General features: G+C 40.9%; 1 protein-coding gene across 3 annotated transcripts in view, besides 1 other annotated feature; it reads left to right on the top strand.

Annotated features, from left to right (window-relative positions):
- Positions 2791-3990: an enhancer, noted in NCBI's record as "BRD4-independent group 4 enhancer chr15:27034764-27035963 (GRCh37/hg19 assembly coordinates)". NCBI's record gives its function as "activates an origin of replication core promoter dependent on BRD2, P300/CBP, MED14 and CDK7 cofactors, and independent of BRD4, by STARR-seq in HCT116 cells {active_cell/tissue: HCT116}" and the evidence as "EXISTENCE:reporter gene assay evidence [ECO:0000049][PMID:35650434]".
- GABRB3 (gamma-aminobutyric acid type A receptor subunit beta3) overlaps positions 19844-21263 on the top strand; it is a 230212-nt gene continuing 228792 nt past the window's right edge. For 2 of the 3 annotated variants that reach the window (NM_000814.6, NM_001278631.2), the window contains exons 1-3: positions 20541-20724; positions 20835-20926; positions 21138-21205. In NM_000814.6, the coding sequence (NP_000805.1) occupies positions 20645-20724; positions 20835-20926; positions 21138-21205 (240 nt within the window). In that variant the 5' untranslated portion in view covers positions 20541-20644. Of the gene's footprint in view, positions 19963-20540; positions 20725-20834; positions 20927-21137; positions 21206-21263 lie in introns of those variants that run through there. The other variant, NM_021912.5, reaches the window with a different exon arrangement.

Below are 21263 nucleotides of genomic sequence, written 5' to 3'. Positions count from 1 at the left end.
TTTAAAAGTATTATTTAAAAAAGAAAAAAGGGAGTATCAGAGAGATATCATGTTGCTGAGTGCAAAGTAGCTGTTAGTTAAAAACCATACTTCTTGTTTGGTGCTCAGGAAGTGATGTGATAAAAATTCTACAGCTTGGAAAAAAATTAATGATAATGTGATAGCAATAAAAACGTTTAACAAATGTTTCTCCTATCTTTGTAAAACAAGGTGGCAAAAATAAAGATTTCTAAAACATATATCTGAATCATATAATCAATGGCTTTTTGCCTAAACTTACCAACTTCGATAATAGAGAAGCACTACAAACTCCTCTCTAAATGCTTATGAAGCACTTATAACAATTGTTTATATATTGCAACACACCAATAAACTAAAAATAACAGAAAAATATTGATCAATGTTCTGATTACACTGCAAAAATCTGGAAATCATCACATCATATTTTTAAAAATTAAAACAAAAAATAAAGTAAAAACCTTATTACTTGGAAATTTTTAAAAGTATTTTGGGTCAAAGATGAAATAAAATTGGCAATCATGGAGTATCATTGTATACTGAAATCCACTAATGTAGCCAAAGCTGATTCAGAAGAAAATTTATAGCCTTAAACAAACAAACAAACAACGCAAGAAATAAAAAATTTCATGATTTTAACATTTAAGTCAGGAAGGGAGATGAAATGTAATAACAAATACAGAAGAAATTAATGAAAATATATATCAGTAATTTAGAAAGCAAATAAAGAATAGAAATGATGTATGAATCCAATATCTCTTTTTGGGAAAAAGAGTAAAAGGCAATGACAAATATTCTAATTTTAAGAAAAGAAAAGGCAAAAATACATGAAATTGCATATAGAAACACTGCCAATGTGGTTTTTAGGCAGAAATCTGTAAATTCATAAATCAGTGAAGATATATAATATGTATACAATCTAAAAAATATAATTCAAGATTCGTTATCAGAGACTTAAAAAGAAAGAAAATTCATAGTGATGAGTAGACTAATACTCCTTCGTATGTTAAAAAAATACCCATTTTTACTTATGATATCTAATCTTAATATGAAGAATAATATATTTTACGTGTCAAATTTTATTGTGAACAAGTAATCATCAAGGAACTATTAAAGTGAGATGACAAGAATATCTACAATAATCAATGTTTAACATTGTTTTGTACATCAGAGGCAATGCAATAATGGCTAAATTAATGTGATATTAGCAATTGACAAGAGAACACACATTTGTCTTATTTCAGATGTTATAAATATTCACCTAAAATACCAGGAAAATAAAGTTTTAAAGTATTTAGAACCAAAAGAAAAATATTCAGTAAGTCTTGCACCTCAGAATTAGCATAAAGTTAATAATTTTCCTGCATGCTTTTTTTTTTTTTTTTTTTTTTTGAGACGAAGTCTCGCTCTGTCGCCCAGGCTGGTGTGCAGTGGCGCTATCTCGGCTCACTGCAAGCGCCGCCTCCCGGGTTCACGCCATTCTCCTGCCTCAGCCTCATGTAGCTGGGACTACAGGCGCCCGCTACAACTCCCGGTTAATTTTTTTGTATTTTTAGTAGAGACGGGATTTCACTGTGTTAGCCAGGATGGTCTCGGTATGTTTCTAATAGTCATTAAAAAATACGATGAGGAGCTGGGAGCGGTGGCTCACGCCTGTAATCCCACAACTTCGGGAGGCCCAGGTGGGTGGATCACTTGAGCCCAGGAGTTCGAGACCAGCCTGGGCAACAGGTGAAACCTGTCTCTACAAAAAAAAAAAAAAAAAAAAAAAAAATCAGCCAGGCATGGTGGCGTGTGCCTGTTGTTCCAGTTGAGGTGAGGTGAGGGAGGCTGAGGTGGGAAGATTACCTGAGCCTGGGATGCAGAGGTTTCAGTGAGCCATGACGGTGTCACTGCACTCCAGCCTGGGCAACAGAGCGAGACCCTCTTTCAAAAATAATAAATAAATAAAATAAGATAAAAATAGCTTAAAAATACAATGAGAAGCTTTGGGCTGAGGAAGGTTGGTGTGGGAGCAGCGGGTAGTGAGGCTGGGTTTGATTGCTAATGTTTACAGGGCTTCTTTTAGATGGATGAAAATGTTATAAACAGAGATCGTGGTGTTGGTTGCAAAACCCTGTGAATAAACAAAATTCAAAGGAGAATAAAAGCAGAATAACACAGGAAAAAGGGGAGGTTGACATTCTCAGCATGTGAAGCACTTGTACCAAAAATTAGCATGTGACAATCCATAACCTATGATTCAGTAAGAAAAATAAAGTTTGTCTTTGTCTGAAGGTACAAGCAAATATAAACGGTCAGAAAATCTGAAAAGATTTCTAAAGTTACAAATAAACAGGGAACTGCAAATTATCACCGCACTACTATTTCATTATAGAACAAATTGACAAAAATGTAATTCTTGGTATTACAGAGAATTATTGAATATATAGACCAAAGAGAAGTTTCAAGCTCTGCTATTATAACTGTAAATTGATACAGTCCATTTGGAAAAGAATTTTTGTCAATATTTAGTAAATACAAAGATGTATATATTCTTTGATAAGACATATTTATATGTGTGTGCAAATTTACTGGAGCCACATTTATTAATAGGGAGAAATCTAAAAATCATAATCTTAAGGAATAAAAGCTAGTTACACAAGAGTAGGAAGTCTAATGATCTGCACAAGCATTTGGGTATCTGGGGGCCATCCATACACATTATTATTACCTCAGTAGAAGTTCTTTGCACGAGGAGAGTAGAGTCTTCCCTCCTCCACTTCCCTCCCTCTTCGTGGTGTTATCATTTAACTAGTACATTGCACTTGTCTTCAGCTGATAACTGAAGCTACTATTTAACAAGTGTACTTTTGTGGCTCTATGAACGTCTCCAAATGATAGTCAAAGAACACAATTGTAGTATGGATGGCTGAAATGCTTGCTATTCTAGCACTCTGCAGGCTAAAGTCAGCTGATCTGGTGGAATAAAGTTTGTATCTTCTTCTTCTGTCACCACTCCATGACTTTTCTTAGCAGGTAAGCAACTGACTTTAGTAATGAGAGGTGAAGCTGACTGCGCTTCTGGGTTGGGTGGGGACCTGAAAAACTTTTCTGTCTAGCTAAAGGATTGTAAACACACCAATCAGTGCTCTGTGTCTAGCTAAAGGTGTGTAAAAGCACCAATCAGCACGCTGTAAAAACAGACCAATCGGCACTCTGCAAAATGGACCAATCAGTGCTCAGTAAAATGGACCAATCAGCACTCTGTAAAATGGACCAATCAGCAGGATGTGGGCGGGGCCAACTAAGGGAATAAATGCTGGCCCCGCGGAGCATCTGTGGCAATGTGCTTGGGTCTGTGGAATGTTTGTTATTTGGCTATTTACAGTAGATCTTGCTGCTGCTCACTTTTTGGGACGGCTCTCTATTTATGAGCTGTGATACTCGCTGCAGAGGTCTGTGGGTTTACTTCTGAAGTCGGCTAGAGTAACCAGCCCACGAACCCACCGGGAGGAACGAAAAACTCGGGATACGCTACCTTTAAGAGCTGTAACGCTCGCTGCAAAGGTCTGCAGCTTCACATAGATAATGAACTCAGAGTACCAACCCACCAGAAGAAAAAAAAAAAAACTCTGGACCCGTCTTAACAGCTGGAGGAAGGAACTCCAGGTACTGCATCCTTAAGAGCTGTAACACTCCCTGCGAGAATTTGCGGCTTCGTTTTTGAAGTTCGTGAGACCAATAACCTGCTGCTCAGTGTAAGTTCTGGATCCAATAGTAGGTAGGGGCGTCTTGAAGTTCTATTTGTTCCGTCTGGTTAAGTCCTCTTTTTGTTTACCTTGGTAGGGTTCTTATGTTAATGCTTGGCTGCAGCGGCTCCCATTTTTTTCTTAGTGAAGCTTTACAGTGTGCTGTTGTCTTCCTTCTTAAATCTCATGGAAAGAAATGGATAATCTCTTTGAGTTCTTACATAGGCTTTTAAATTCCACTATCACAAGCTGCTAAAAGGCAAGAAGTGTGTTGCATTTATATTTTTGTTCGATAAATTTGTTAGCCAAATGGCTAGGATAAGGTAGATTTCAAAAACGGTGTAATTTAAATGGATGCTTAACTATAAAGAGACAGAAACCTGAAAGCATTTTCAGACTGGCTTCTAAACGTTTTAGATAACAACCTTATTTGCTTAAATTATGTATCACGTATTTCAACATGCTATATACTATTATATAATGGAGTAATTGTGAAGCTTAAATATTAATATGTTACAGTACATGTGTTGAAGACGTGGACTGTAGAGTACATTATTTTAAGTTTCACAATTTATTGCTGTATAATATAGAATGTTAAAATCCATGGTTTATGATTTAGACTATATTATATACTTAAATGTAACGTATAATGAAATATAATTTAACACATTAACATGTTAAATGCTACAGTGTATTTTCTAAAAACTTATTATGAAATTATTTCAAACTTACTGGAAAGTTGCAAAAATCATACAGAACAACCATGCACGTTACTCAGATGTAGCAGTTTAAAATATTGTTCCACATTGTTTTTTCATCTGACTCTACAAATATAAACACACACAAATTATTTTTGCCAATATATTTCGATATAGCTTGCATACATCATGTCTTTTTACCTCTGATAATTCAGTGTGTATTTCGTAAAAGAAAGGGCTAGGGTGTTTCTTCTCAAGCTAAAGAGACTACTCAAAAATTCCGATGTATTGAAATGGTGCAAGATTTTTTCGTCTTTTTACTTGTGTTTTGATTTACACTTTTCATTAAGATGCAGCCCTATGGTGGAGTTAGGCTTTCAAGCTTGTGTCAGTTTCCTATTTGTATGATCTTAAAACACAAAACAGTTCTTTATTTTTTCTGTGTCTCTCGTTGCACCCAGCTTATACTTGTGAGTATTAGGCCATCTTTTCACTATTTGTGATCATCATTGATATTTAGTCAAGTTAGGAAGGAGACCCACACAAAGAATGACTCAGGAGAAGAAGAAAAAGGGAACCATGGCATGAATCTTAAAAGAAATTAATGTTTTGGAAATCACTGATTGACTGATAGACTTCTAAGTCCATTGTTACTGAATATGTTAAAATCTGGGTAATATGTCGGAAATGCACACTGTATCATCATTGGATTAAGCTCTTGTGGTGGTTGTGGTGTAAGTAGAGTATTTTTGGAAACCTTGGATGGTAAAATGTTCCAGAGGCGGAAGACGACAACAAACTATATGATTTATTATTGAAAAATATTTTACGTTATCACCAGTAATCATGTTCTTCAGGGCAATTCTTGTCTTCTATTTCTTTGATTAGTTAAAAATTAGCCACGCAGGTCACGTCTTTCCCCTCTCCCTATTGGCATTTCAGCAACTATTCCAGAGACAAGGGTTTTAATTAGTTTTTCTGATTAGGATTTTGCCATAGGTGTAAATATACTTAACAGGATATATAAACATACTTCGCTAGTAAAGTTATGAATTTAATGAGATACTGAGATAAGAACCTTTGCTGCTTTTAGTTCAGTGTTATGAGAACAATGACAATTACTCTCAGTAATTGCTCTTAGTAACATCAATAGTCATTTCTCTGTAATCAAAATCAGCTTGAGTTCTCCTTCCAGCTATAATGAAGTAAATGTGACTAGACTTGCTTTTGTATCATAAGTCACTAGAAAAGCTGAAGAAAACCTATGAAACAACTGTACGTAGTCATTAAACAATAGGTAGTTCGGTACTGTGATCCCTTAGAGAAAGGAAACAAGAACCCTACAATTGACTTGGCTTTTTGCATAGAGACCTTTATGGACTACAGTGTGGTGAAAAGAATCTTAAGCAGGACATGGCAGATCACTAGATTGAGAGGACAGAGATCAGCGTTCTGAGAAAATGCAGCAACTTAAATTTTCCGAATTATAGAATGAGGAGGATGCTTTGCAGAAAGAGAGCTCAAGACATCTGGGTTCTCTTGCATTTGTTGATGAGTATTAAGCTGTACATGCATAGAGTGAGTCTCCACAGAGCTGAATAGACAATAAGCCGGGACCTACAACCTATATGATTTTCGGAGTTTACACAAGACTAGATGACTTTCTAATTCTAATCAGCAAGAATGGAGGATCTTTATTAAACATATAAAGACCATTAAATAGGACCATTAAATGGGCATATTAAGTAGGTATCCCAGAAGGGTAATGCTTTAGTAGTAGGACTAAAATAGCTTTAGGTTAAAGGCCACCTTAGACCTTCCCTTTGAAGAACTTTAAAACTACTCTCGAAAAGATCAAACTGATCCATTACATAACAACTGCTGGAATAAAGACAAACACCCTTTAAAAGAAGATGGCAAAATACAGCACAGAACAACATAAAATTCACAATGTGCAGAGTCTGAAAAGAATTATTAGCATACCAAAATTCAGGAAAATGTAACCATAAGCCGAAAAAAAAAACACTCATTATAATAACAGCGCAAGAAATGATTGAATAACCAGACAAGAAAATGATAAAACTACTGTTGATGAGCTTAATGGTTTAAATAAAAAATGAACACAATGAAGGCAATAATGGAATATATAAGAAGAACCAAATGAAATTTTTAGAGCTCAAATACAATTTCTGAAAAGATTGTGTCACCGGACAAGATTCAAAGCAAATTGCATAATGCATAAGACAAGAGAAGTTGGGATTCCCACTGTCCCCACTGTTACTCAACATAGTACTTGAAATCCTAGCTAGAGCAGTCAGACAAGAGAAAGAAAGGGCATCCAAATTGGAAAGGAAGAAGTCAAATTGTCCTTGTTTGCAGATGATGCAATATTATATTTGGAAAAACCTAGCGATTTCACAAAGAATATATATTAGGTTGGTGCAAATTGTGGTTTTTCTCTCTCATATAATTACACATGTTAGAAAATTATACAATTACATAACTGCATAATTCTAACAAAATATAGTTACAATGCATAAGATGTATTTGATAGCACAATAGGATGACTACAATCAATAATTTATTGTACATTTAAAAATAACAAAATATAACTGGAATGTTTGTGACACAAATGATAAATGCTTGAGGAGATGAATACCCCATTTACCTTGATGTAATCAGTATGCGTTGTATGCGTGTACCAAAATATGTACCACATAAATACATATACCTACTGTGTAAACATAAAAATATAAAGGTTTTAAAAAGACAACTTGAAAACATAATAATATGGCTATCTGAACTAAAGCACAGTGGAAAAACACACTGAAAAAAATAAAGTATTCAGAGGCCTGTGAGACTATATCGAAGTGTCACACATATGTGTAATTGGAGTTTCCCAAGAAGGGAGGAAAAATGTTTTTGAAAATGTTAGCTGGAAATTATCCAAATGAGATGAAAGCTATAAACACACAGACCTGAGAAGCTCGATGAATTCCAAGAAGGATCAACAAAAAAGCACATCTAGGAACATCAAGATAAAATTGGTGATAAGTATTGATAGACGGAAAAACTTAAAGCCAACTCAGGTGGTGTATATTAAGATGTTAAGGGCTAGGTGCAGTGGCTCATGTCTATAATCCCAGCACTTTGGGAGGATCACTTGAAGCCAGGAGGTTGAAAGCAGCTTGAGCAACAAACTGATACCCTGTCTCTCCAAAAAAAAAAAAAAAAAATTTAAAAGTAAAAAATAACTTAGCTGGTCTCAGTGGCGTGCACCTCTAAGTCCCAGCTACTAGGGAAGCTGAGCCAGGAGGATCGTTTGAGCCCAGGAGTTTGAGACTGCGGTGAGCTATGATTGCACCACTGTACTCCATCCTGGGCGACAGAGCATGACCCTGTCTCTGAAAAAAAAATGTACATGAGGACAGAGATAATGTATTTTTATTAATTTATTGAAATACACAAGTTGTTATTAATTTTTATGAAATAAGGGACTACTATTTTTAAAGTGCTAAAAGAGAGCTTGTCAACTTTGACTTTTACATCTAGCAAAATAATCTCATGAAAATGTAGGCAAACAAGATTTTCAGTCAAGAAAAGCTAGAATTGTCACTAGCAGATGTGCTGTAGAATAAATGTTACAGTAAGTTCTTTGGACAAAATGATGTCAGATGAAAACTTGTATAACTACAAAGTAATAAAGAGTGCTATAAACAGCAAATATGTAGAAAATTATTTTTTAAAATATTTCTTGAAAGGTATATAGCATTATCAATGTGTTATGGTATTTTAACATATATAGAATATAAGAAAATAGCACACAATTTGGGGGTAATACAATTGCACTGTGGTAAGGTTCTTGCATTAAACTTTTAAATAGAATTATAGTATTTGACACTAGCCTGTATTTAAACGTTGTAAACCTTAAACACCAGAAAAAAGGCATAGTTTATAACCCCACAGTAAATATGGAACTGAATGCTAAAAAAAAAAACGATTTGAGGGGTTTGTTTCTTTGTTTGAGATGGAGTCCCACTCTGTCATCAGGCTGGAAGTGCAGTGGCGTGATCTCGGCTCACTGCAACCTCTGCCTGCCAGGTTGAAGTGATTCTCCTGCCTCAGCCTCACGTGTAGCTGGGACTACAGGCATGTGCCACCACGCCCAGCTAATTTTTGTATTTTTAGTAGAGACGGGGTTCACCAAGTTGGCCAGGATGGTCTTGACCTCTTGACCTCGTGATCCGCCTGCCTCAGCCTCCGAAAGTGCTGGGATTAAAGGTGTGAGCCACTGCACCAAGCCGAACTGAATTTTTTAAAAGGCAAGAAAAGGTGGGAAAGGGCAATGAACACATGAGACAAACAGAAAACAAAACAAAAGAAAGTAATGATGCTTGGCTTAAACTTTACCACTTCAATAATGACATTAAATACAGGTAGTTTAGGTTTGCATTGTGCAAAATGGTAGCTAATAGCCACTTGTGACTATTGAGCACCTGAAATGGACCTACCCCAAATTAAGATGCACTGCAAGTGTCAAAAACACACCAGATTTTGAATACTTACTATGACACTTTTTTTCATTACATCGATTAAAGGTTGAAATATATTTTGGATATATTGGGTTAAATAAAATGTTACTAAAATTAATGCCACTTATTTCCTCTTTTTAATATGGCTACAGAATGTTTTTGAAAATTTCAGTGTGTGGCTTACATTACATTTCTATTAAATAGATCTGAACTGGACAGTCCAGCTAAAAGGAAGGAATTATCAGACATGATTAAAGAAGCTTGGCCTGACTAAATGAAGCCCGCAAAAAAGATTTTAACTCTAAGCAAATAGGTTGAAATAAAAGGAAAAATTGTAAAAGAGTTGGAGTACTTACTAAGATAAGACAAAGCTGGCTCCAGGCAAAGAATACTACCAGCAACAAAGAGGAACATTTCAGATAATAAAAGAGACAATTCATTGGGTGGATCACAAGCTCAGGAGTTCGAGACCAGCCTGGCCAAGATGGTGAAACCCCATCTCTACTAAAAATACAAAAAACTAGCCAGGTGTGTGGTAGTGCGCACCTGTAGTCCCAGCTACTCAGGAGTCTGAGGCAGGAGAATCGCTTGAACCCTGGACGCAGAGGTTGCAGTGAGCCAAGATCATGCCACTGCACTTGGCCTGGGCAACAGAGCAAGAATCCATCTTAAAAAAAAAAAAAAATCGTACAACTCCTGCATGCCTATGCACCAAATAACAGTTTGAAAAGACAAGTAGGCAAGTAGCAGAAACTCAAAGAATTGAAAGAAGTAATAGACAAATAATAATAATATTTAAAGACATCAACATTCCCCTCTCAGTAATTGACTAAACAAGTACACAGAAAATCAGTAAGGATATATAAAACCCAAACATCACTGTCAGCCAACTTAACCTAATTGACATTTATACAATACTCCAAAGAACAGAATGCACTATCTGCTCAAGTGTGCATGGTATAATCACCAACCTAAACCATGCACAGGTCAGAAATTTTATCACAGCAAATTTAGAAGAGCTGAATCTATAGGAAATATGTTCTCTGATTATAACAAAATTAAACATAACAATAGAATCTAGCATCTTTTAATGGTTTGAAATTAGAGAACATACTTCTAAATACCTATGGCTAATAAAAATCAAAATAAATGAGAAAATAGTGAAGTAAATTAAAATTAAAATATAGCATACTAAATGTTTTGGAATACTACTGCAGCTTAGAAATACATAGCTTTAAATGCCCGTATTAGAAAAGTCCTAAAAATCATTAAGCTTCAATCCTAAGAAACTAGAAAAGGAAAAAGCAAAGTAAGCCCAAAGAAAGTAGAAGAAAGGAAATAGTAAAAACAAAAGCAGAAATCAATGATACAAAACAGACAATAGAGCAAAGTGGTGCAACCAAAAACAGATCATTTGAAAAGATGAATGAAAGTAAGCAACTTTTAGCTAGACTTATCAATATAAAAAAGAGGACACAACCTACTAATATCAGAAAAGAAAGTGGGAGCATAACTACATGCACTACAAACTTTAAAAATTATAAGGGAATGTTATAAATATTTTTTATTAATAAGTTCAGAAATAAGTTAGAAATCTAAATAGCCTATGTCTGCTGAAGATAATGTATTTATTATTTAGAAATTAAAATGTTCAAACTTCATTGGCTTCATTGGCAAATTCTAGGAAATATTTAAGAAAGATGTAATGACAATCCTACAGAAAAATCTTTCAAAAATTACAGGAGAAAGGAACACACATGGAACCTTGCTTTCTGAGGTCAGCATCGCACTAATACAAAAACTAGGCGAGAAAAGGCAAACATACACCAAAACACTCATGACCTTAGGCACACACATTTTTAATAATAATATTGGGCAATCAAATGCAGTAACAGGTAAAAAGTATAAGCAAAATGACCAAGCAGTGTTTATCCTAGGAATACAAATATTGCTTAACATTTGAAAAATCAATGTCATTTATCATGTTAAAAGAGTAAAGGAGAAAATTAATGATTATCTCATAGATACAAAAAAAAGCATCTGATGAAATTGCATACCTTTCTTGATAAAGACTCTCCATTAAACTAGGAATAGTAGGCAATTTCCTTAATCTGATAAAGAGGATCTGCAGAACTTCCTTACACTTTTTTTTTTTTAGTTTGAAGTCATAACATTGCAGAAAACTTTTCTCACATATCTTAGTGTGGTTTCATACATACAAAGAGCCTTTCAGTGTTATTACAATCCAACCATCAAAATATCAGGAAATAGATACTGTTAAATTATTGCCATTCAATCTTTACACCCCATTTAAGATCAATCAATTGCCTCATTAAAATATTTTACAGCAAAATGATGGAGTCCAGAACTATGCATGCATTAAGAATTCCTGTCTCTGGTTTACTTTCGTTTGGAGTAGTTTATCAGTCTTTTCTGGTGAGAGGTGACAGCGTGCTGGCAGCACTCACAGCCCTCGCTCGCTCTCGGGACCTCTTTGGCCTTGGCGCCCACTCTGGCCACGCTTGAGGAGCCCTTCAGCCCGCAGCTGCACTGTGGGAGCCCCTTTCTGGGCTGGCCAAGGCTGGAGCTGGCTCCCTGAGCTTGTCGGGAGGTGTGGAGGGAGAGGCGCGGGCGGAACCGGGGCTGCCTGCGAGGCTTGCTGGCCAGCGTGAGTCCTGGGTGGGCGTGGGCTCAGCGAGCCCCACACTCGGAGTGGCCAACCGGCCCCGCGGGCTCCAGGCAGTGAGGGGTTTAGCACCTGGGCCAGCAGATGCTGTGCTCGACTTCTCGCCGGGCCTTAGCTGCTTCCCCGTGGGGCAGGGCTCAGGACCTGCAGCCTGCCATGCCTGAGCCTCCCCACCTTTGCCTTGGGCTCCTGCACAGCCGGAGCCTAGCAGATGAGCGCTGCCCGCTGCTCCATGGTGTCCAGTCCCATTCAGCACCCAGGGGCTGAGGAGTGCGGGTGCATTGCATGGGACTGGCAGGCAGCTCCACCTGCACCCCCGTGCGGGATCCACTGGGTGAAGCCAGCTGGGCTTCTGAGTCTGGTGGGGACTTGGAGAACCTTTATGTCTGGCTAAGGAATTGTAAATACACCAATTGGCACTCTGTATCTAGCTCAAGGTTTGTAAACACACCAGTCAGCACCCTGTGTCTAGCTCAGGGTTTGTGAATGCACCAATTGACACTCTGTATCTAGCTACTCTGGTGGGGACTTGGAGAAGCTTTGTGTGGACACTGTATCTAGCTAATGTAGTGGGGAGGTGGAGAACTTTTGTGTCTAGCTCAGGGATTGTAAATGCACCAATCAGCACCCTGTCAAAATGGACCAATCAGCTCTCTGTAAAACAGACCAATTGGCTCTCTGTAAAGTGGACCAATCAGCAGGACGTGGGTGGGGCCAGGTAAGAGAATAAAAGCAGGCTGCCCTAGCTGGCAGTAGCAACCCGCTTGCATCCTTTTCTGTAGTGTGGAGGTTTTGTTCTTTTGCTGTTTGCAATAAATCTTGCTGCTCCTCACTCTTTGGGTTCATCCTGGCTTTATGAGCTGTAACACTCAGTGTGAAGGTCTGCAGCTTCACTCCTGAAGCCAGTGAGACCACGAACCCACGAGAAGGAAGAAACTCTGAATACATCTCATCATCAGAAGGAACAAACTCTGGACACGTTGCCGTTAAGAACTGTAACACTCACCACGAGGGTCTGTGGCTTCATTCTTGAAGTTAGTGAGACCAAAAACCCACCAATTCTGGACACAATGGAATTTGCACTTTTGGATTATTATAGGGTTATTATGTTGTAGGAACTCTCTTAATTTGGGTTTGTCTGATGTTTTCTTGTGATTGGATTTAGCTTGTATATTTTTGTGAAAATGACAAACTGATATAATCTTCTCACTGCATTATATCATGAGATGCATAATTTTGAGATACCTCATTTTTTAAATTTGTTCATATAGATCTGTTGATTAAGGTAGTATTGGCCCAGCTGAATTATAAATATACTATTTTTAAATTATAATTAATTTTATAGTTAATTTTATAATTTTGTGAAACACATACTTAAATGCTATGTAATATATTACCGTTAATGATCAAAATATATCATTCATGATCAAACACAATGTGTATGAACTCTAATTTTCCAATTTTTTCCTTTGGGTTGTAATTCATTATTTTAGGGTTGTAATTCATTTTTTTTAAATTTTTACTCAAATCATCCCAGAATTAGGCAGTATAAAAACATTCAAGCTGGATTTTGTGTCTTTTTGACATGTTCTCATCATTCTTTGAACACCTCCTTGCTCTGCCACAAGTGTTCCAATCCTATCTTACACTTTCCCTGTCTGTCTCTGGAAGTATCCATTTTCCCAAGTAGCTCTGGTTCCTTTCAGTAGAAAATAGTATGGAGAAGCCAAGATCTGGGTGCAGAGGGTGTTCATTGCTATTGTGCTGTCACTGTTCCCAGGCCTCTTGGTGGGTAGAAGCAGAGAATATATATACACACACAAACACACACACGTGTGTATATGTAGGTATACAGTAAGTACATATATACATGTTTATATATGTATATAGTTGTATTTATAGATATACTTTGAAAATCAGTAGTTCACACTAATACATTCAATTGCAATCATACCACAGGGATTATTTCTCCTTTTTTTTTGTACTCGTAATTCCCATCTCCAACAGAGAGAAACTCGGGTTCCATTACTCTTGGTATATGTATTTATTGGATTAAGTTCCCACTATGTCTCCCATTGCTGCCACTGCTTCCATTCCCTGCTGGCATTCTCCTCTTCCTGTTCAGGTTCTGACTCCCCATTTTGGGCCATCCCAGTACATGGATGCCTTCCTGACCTTGCTTGGGCTGTTTTTCCACAACAGGTCACCTTATCAAGTGAATGCCCCCCTCATCTTCACCTTGTGTATGCCTTCCTGTGGGGGAACCCTCCTAGCACTGTGTGAGCTCGAACTTTGTATGCCAGGCTCGCCCACCCAGTGCTTGCCCTCCTCCTCCTGCGTGAGCTTATTCCCTCATGCAGGGCAGGCTTCGTGCATAGACACTCTCCTCACCCTCTGAAACAGACTGCCAAACCAGACCAGGCCTCAATGGGGATGTTCTCTTAGCTTTGCTTTGGCTGTAATTTCAAATACAGGCTACTTTGCCCACATTCCATGATCTGAGAACTATGGCTGGCTCTCCCTCTCCAGGCCTTCCCTACTTCGCTTTGGCTGTGATTTTCAAACTAAGCCTTCCATGTGAAATGGTGCTTTTCTCAGTTTCTCAAGCTATGAAGCTTCGGTGCCGTCTTCACACTGCCTGGACTCTGGCCTGAGAGCTCCCTACTCCTTACCAGGTGCACACCATGTACTTCTCTACTCTTAGGACTAAACTTTTCCAGGAGATGAAAGAAAAGGAAGAGAGGGGAGGGGAAGGAGAACAGAAGAAAAATAAGAAGATGTCAACACCATACTTAATGGTAAACAAACGAACAAAAAACAAAAATCCCGAACAACAGCAACGACAAAATCTGAATATTTTCCCCTAATATTGGAACAAGGCAAGGGTGTCCACTCTTACCACTTCCTTTCCACATTGTACTGGAAACCCCAGCCAGTACTGTAAGGCAAGAAAAAGAAATTTAAAATATCTACATATAGGAGAAGAAGAAATAAACTGTCTATATTCACAGATGACGTAATTATCTCTTGGATATAATCCTAAGGAATCTACAAAAAAGTCTATTAAAATAATAAGTACATTGAGTAAGGTTGTAGAATGTAATGATAATATAGAAAAGTTAATCATATTTATATGTACTAGCAGTATGCAATTGGCAATTAGATATTTTAAAATCACTTATAATAGCATAAAATATGAAATATGTTAAGATGTCAATTTTCCCTAGATTCATCTACACAGTTTATGTAATACAAATTAAAACTCCCATCAGGCTTCTTTATAGAAATTGAAAAGATCATTCTAAAATATTTATGAAAATGCAAAGACATCACATAGTTAAAATAATTTTGGAGAACAAAATTGGATGGAATATGCTACATTATTTCAATATTAACTTTATAGCTACATTAATCAAAACAGTATGGATTAGTATAAAGATATATAGATACATTAATGGAAAAGGGTAAATAGAGTAAAAAAAAACAGCCACACATATAAGATCAATTGATTCTCAACAAAAATATAAAGGTAACCAGATTGAAGGAAAGAATATTTCCAACAAATCGTGGTTCATGATATGGTTTGAATCTATGTCCCTGCCTAAATCTCATGTTAAATTATAATCCCCAGTGTTGGAGGTGGGGCCTGGTGGGAGGTGATTGGATCATGGAGGAGGTTTCTCCTGGTTTAACACCATCCCCCTTGGTGGTGTTGTGACAATAGTGAGTGAGTTATCGTGAGATCTGATTGTTTAAAAGTGTGTAGCACCTCCCCTCCTCTCTCTCTTCCTCCTGCTCTGGCCATGTGACATGTCTGCTTCCCCTTTGCCTTCCGCCGTGATTATGTTTCCTGAGGCCTCCCCAGAAACAGAAGCCGCTATGCTTTCCACACAGTCCGCAGAACTGTGAACCAATTAACCATTTTTTCTTTACAAATTACCCAGTCTCAGGTATTTCTTTATAGCAGTGTGAGAACTAATACACTTCATTTGGAAGAACCTTGATCCTTACATCATCCACAAAAATTAACAAGTAACAAGTCTAAATATTAATGCTAACTTTTAGATAACATGCAGAAAATCTTAACTTTTAATTAGGCAATGATTTCTAAAGTAGAATATCAAAAGTGTGAACCTTAAAAGAAAAAAATGGATAAATTGCATTTCATCTAAATTAAATTCTTCTTTTCTTTGAAAGATACTAGTAAAGAAATAAAACAGCAAGGCCGCAGACTGGGAGAAAACATTACATTACATATATCTGACAAAGGATTCATATCCAGAATATATAAAGAACTCTAGCTGGGCATGGTGGCTCACGCCTGTAATCCCAGCACTTTGGGAGGCCAAGGCAGGCGGATCACAAGTTCAGGAGTTCAAGACCAGCCTGGCCAGCATAGTGAAACCCCGTCTCTACTAAAAATATGAAAAATTAGCCAGGCTTGGTGGTGGGTGCCTGTAATCCTAGCTACTTGGGAGGCTGAGGCAGGAGAATCACTTGAACCCAGGAGGTGGAAGTTGCAGGGAGCTGAGATCGAGCCACTGCTCCCCACCCAGGGTGACAGTGTGAGACTCCATCTCAAAAAAAAACAAACAAACAAAAAAAAAACCCTCTCAAATCGCCATAAAAAAGATGGAGAATGCAATTAAAATGGGCAGAAATCTTGTATCTTCGCAAAGAAAATGTGAGTGGCCAATATGTAAATGAAATAGGCTTACTTACATATCACCAGGCAAATGCAAATTAAGACCACAATGCGTTGCCACTATACACCCAACAAGATGAACCGAGAGGATGTGGAGCAGCTGCATTTCTCTTGCATTGCGGGTGAGATGCAAAATCCTCCAAGTGCTTTGGAATATTTTGGCAGTTCCTTATAAAACTAAACATACACTCATCACATGATTTAGCCATTTTACTCCTAGGTATTTGTCCAAGAGAAATGAAACCTCATGTCCATATAAAGACCTGTATATGAATCTTTATTCATAATCACTAAAATTAGAAAGACCCATCAACAGGTGAATGGAATACTATTTGGCAATACAAAGGAACAAACTATGGATCTGCAACAACATGAATAGATCTCAGAAACATTACACCCAGTGAAAGACGCCAGACATGAAACAACGTATAGTACATCATTCTACTTTTATAGAATGCCTAGAACAGGCAAGAAAAAAAAAGTAACAAGTGTAATGACACAATCTATGTGGGTCAGAGCTTGTCTGGAACCCTCAGTTGCAGATGGGTCAAAGGGTCACAAGAGAACTTTGGGAATGATGAAAATGTGCTGGGCGCGGTGGCTCACGCCTGTAATCCCAGCACTTTGGGAGGCCGAGGCGGGCGGATCACGAGGTCAGGAGATCGAGACCATCCCGGCTAAAACGGTGAAACCCCGTCTCTACTAAAAATACAAAAAATTAGCCGGGCGTAGTGGCGGGCGCCTGTAGTCCCAGCTACTCGGGAGGCTGAGGCAGGAGAATGGCGTGAACCCGGGAGGCGGAGCTTGCAGTGAGCCGAGATCCCGCCACTGCACTCCAGCCTGGGCGACAGAGCGAGACTCCGTCTCAAAAAAAAAAAAAAAAAAAAGAAAATGTACACTAGTTTATACATTTGTTGAGACTCAGTATCTATACATGCAACATTTTATTTCATGTGCTATGAGTTGTTTTTTTGAAGAGCATTAAAATGTAGTGCCAGAAAATTTTGATACTGTTTAAAAAAACAAGTTTTCTAAAAGAAGAGTGACTGAACAAAATAGTTCGGGTAAAAGGCATTTGGGTCAATGAAAATGCACAAACATGGATAAGGTAACGTGATCACCTGATGCCTCCCAGCTATCTGCTTCCCTTCCTTCTTTTTACCTTGAGAGTCTCCAAATATTCTTCTAGACCATTTAAAACCACCTTCCTATGAACAAAATGCCATTCATCTCCTTTTCCTTCTGCCATGAAAAATTACCCTCTGTGGGACTCCTGGAGCCTTTTTTTCTTCCAGTCTAAAATGAATGCAAGTAAGAACTGAATTAATAATTTTCTGCTGATTTGGCTAATACATAATTACTATCTAAGCAAGAGAGCGCAAGGATGTGGGTGCTGGTGTTCAGTGCTTCTCCACCCCTCCCAGATGGCTGCCTATGTTGGAGGGAGCTGAGAAAGGAGGAAGGGCGGCAGGCTGCATGTCCACCCTTTGTTGCGGATGTAGGTGCAAGTCGGGCAGCGACTGTGATGTGCAGTAGTGTGTGGGTGTGTAAGGACCTTATAGCCCATGCATCCTGATCACACCTTTGCAGTCTTTCTCTCTGATTTTGCCTTTTGAAAGAGACTGTGTTTTTAGGTGACACTTCTAGTGACTTGCCGACTAATTTACAACTCAGCCTAGGTTCCCCAGAAAACATATCCTGAGGCAAAATTTAGGTGGTGATATGTTACTAGGATGTTTGATTCCAATGAAAACAGGAGCAAAGGAAAAGGGAATTGTGGCATGGAAAGAGAGGGAGCAGATAGGAGGGTTCATTACCAGGCAGACCACCCACTGCTGAGTATGAAGTACAAAAGATGGATCCATCTCACAGGATCATCTTTGAGAGGCCAACAGCGACTGCATCTCAGGACATTTCTTAGGAGGCAATAAAGGGAGACTCTTTGATCCATGGATATGTGTCCATTAGACAAAAGTCTGCCTCATAGACTTCTAACTTGCCTGAAATTTCAGATTGCATATATGTGAGTACTGAGCAAATCCCGTGGCATCTCAGACCTTGCGGATATGAGGTGATCATATCCCATGTGGGCTTGTTCCCATGTAAAGCTGATCAGACCTCTTGCAGAACTGGGTGCTGAGGCAGCAGCTGGGGTGATAAAGCCAAAAGCTCCAGAGAAGGTGAAGCCAAGAAGGTCTGATGTGATGCACGGTTGGATAATAATGTTTGTAATGTGGCTTTGCAAGTCTTAGAACATATAAACTGGTAGTAAGGGGGCTAATTCTTGCTATGTTGTTGGTTTTATTAAAACAACTTCTTTTCATTGTTTACTTTTTATAGCCACGATCCCCAGCAGGGCATTTCTCCAAAAGAACTGCATGCAAATAGGAGAAATAAACTGAAATATGAATGTGTGTGTGATGCAACAGATATAATTTTCCAGATAATTCCATTGTGCATTAACAGAACATTGAATGCAAAGCAGTGGTGAATAGACTTTTCCAGAAAATAATTAGGATGCTATATTTATCTCTGAATCTTTCAGGTACTGCGGTCACATTTTCTGTTCCAAAAATAAAATAGCTGATTTTTTAAAAAGGCAGTATATTTAAAATTAATGCACAGAAACATGCCAACGTGAGATTTAGGATCTAGATTTAGGTATTTACTAATATAAAGTCTCAACGATGTTAAAAGCTTAAGCTTCATGGGAAAAAAAATGAGTCAATACAGGAAAGTAGTTATCTATTATTAACCATTCATTAAGTCCTGGAATAATCTGAAGAAGTCTACAGAACACAAAAACGAGCTTGATGTGTAGATTTTGTTAGTTGGCTACAAGTAGGATTGTGTAACCATCTTCTTCAATATTAGAAGTCCGAGGTACAGATAAACTTTATTGGGGATCACTCACTAAAATATAAAACCTGTGGCCGTAGGTGAGTGGCCCCTCAGGTGTGCGGTGGTGGTCCAGAGGGTGGGGTGCATCCGGTGTGCACTGGTACACCAGGGTCCTTGCACCAGTGCGCCAGTAGCCTTCTAATGACAGCCGAAGGAGGCCTGCTGCAGGGAAGCAAGGACCCTTGCCTTATATTAAGGACCACGGATAGCTCTGGGCGGCACCAAAAAAGGCACGTATTTTACCTGGAATGACAATCCAGTCTCCAAGTCTGGCTGGGATTCCAGTTTGCTGATAACAAAACACATATTCAGTCCTCACTTAACCATCCATTACATTTGTATATATGTGAGCAGAAAGGGCTCAGTGCTCCCAAGAAATGTTCAGGAGTGAGGGTAAGAGGTGCAGTTTAAGGAGCAGCTGTTAAAAAAAAAAGGTCCAATTGTATAAATGAAAAATAGGGCCGCCACGGCAGGGGCTGGAAGACGGGTCAGGCGGGAAAGCCTGGGGGTGGGGGTGGGGGTAGGGGCGGGGATCCCTGCGTCGCCGTTTGGCTGCTCGGAGAGTAGGGGGGAGAGCGGATCCCAGCAGGTTAGGCCGGAGGAACAGCGCCATGTGCTCCGGGCTCCTGGAGCTCCTGCTGCCCATCTGGCTCTCCTGGACCCTGGGGACCCGAGGCTCTGAGCCCCGCAGGTGAGGCGGGGGCTTCCCGGCGTTCTGCAGGCACCGTCGGGAGGCGGCGGCCCGCAGTCCGGCGGGCAGAGGCGCGGCACCCGGGGGCTCTCGGGCTGCGCTGCAGCGGGCGGTGGTCGTCGTGCGGGGCCAACTTCGGCGGCCGGGGTAGGCGGGCAGCGTTTCCGCCGCCGCTTATGCCGGCGCCGAGGCTGCCGACAGTCCCCGCACTCGCCCGGCCGCCGAGAGCCCAGAGGAGCCGGCTCAGGGGACGACCCCCCGCCCCTCCCGACTCCGCGCAGCCGCGGCTCCGCTCGCAGCGTCCGGCCCAGGTCGCCCCCGCACTCCGCGGTCCCAGAGGTCCGAGTCCCGTGCGGCGGCCGCCGAGGCGGGAGGGGAGCGCCCAGGGCCCCGGCCTCGGGCCGAGGCGAGCGTGGGGGAGGGCAGGGTGCGCGGCGCGGCGGCTCCGCCTCCGACTCTCCGGCCTCCTCCCCCGCCCCGCGCCCGCGCGCGCTCCTCCCTCCCCGCTCCTCCTTCCTCTCCCAGCGCCCGCTCCTCCCCCTCCTCCCCTCCCCCTCCGCCCTCCTCCGCTCCGGGCCAGCGCGGCGGCGGCGGCGGCGGCGGCAGCAGCAGGAGCAGCCCCGGCTGCGGGTCGCGACGGCGGCGGGGCGCCCCCTCCCCCGTGCCGGGGCGCGGCGGAGGGATGTGGGGCCTTGCGGGAGGAAGGCTTTTCGGCATCTTCTCGGCCCCGGTGCTGGTGGCTGTGGTGTGCTGCGCCCAGAGGTAGGGTCGCGGGTGGGCCGGCGGGCGGCGGGCAGGGCGCGGGGTGCGCGGGGCGCTGGCGGCTGAGCCGCCCCTGACCCCGCTCTTTGTGCTCCCCGTCCCTCCCCCAGTGTGAACGATCCCGGGAACATGTCCTTTGTGAAGGAGACGGTGGACAAGCTGTTGAAAGGCTACGACATTCGCCTAAGACCCGACTTCGGGGGTAAGTGGGCTGCGCGCGGCCGTTGCGGGAAGCGCGACCCACGGCGGCGGCGGCCTGGGCGGAGGGAGGCGGGGGCCGCATCCGCGGAGCAGCGGCGGGTGGGAGTGGGGGCCCTTCGCCCGCGCCCCTCCTGGGATAGCCCCCAGTCCTCAGAGCCGCCCGCGCCCCGCGCCGGAGCTGGGCTGATCGCCGTGTCCTGTGCTTCCCGCAGGTCCCCCGGTCTGCGTGGGGATGAACATCGACATCGCCAGCATCGACATGGTTTCCGAAGTCAACATGGTGAGTGCCCGCCCTCCCAGGGCGGTCCCTGAGCCCCCGGCCCGCTGTCTGGGATCAC

The sequence above is a fragment of the Homo sapiens genome, chromosome 15 (assembly GCF_000001405.40).
Source record: "Homo sapiens chromosome 15, GRCh38.p14 Primary Assembly".
Classification (NCBI taxonomy): domain Eukaryota; kingdom Metazoa; phylum Chordata; class Mammalia; order Primates; family Hominidae; genus Homo; species Homo sapiens.
The sequence above is the reverse complement of the archived record's forward strand: the minus strand, read 5'-3'. Positions and strand labels throughout refer to the sequence as shown.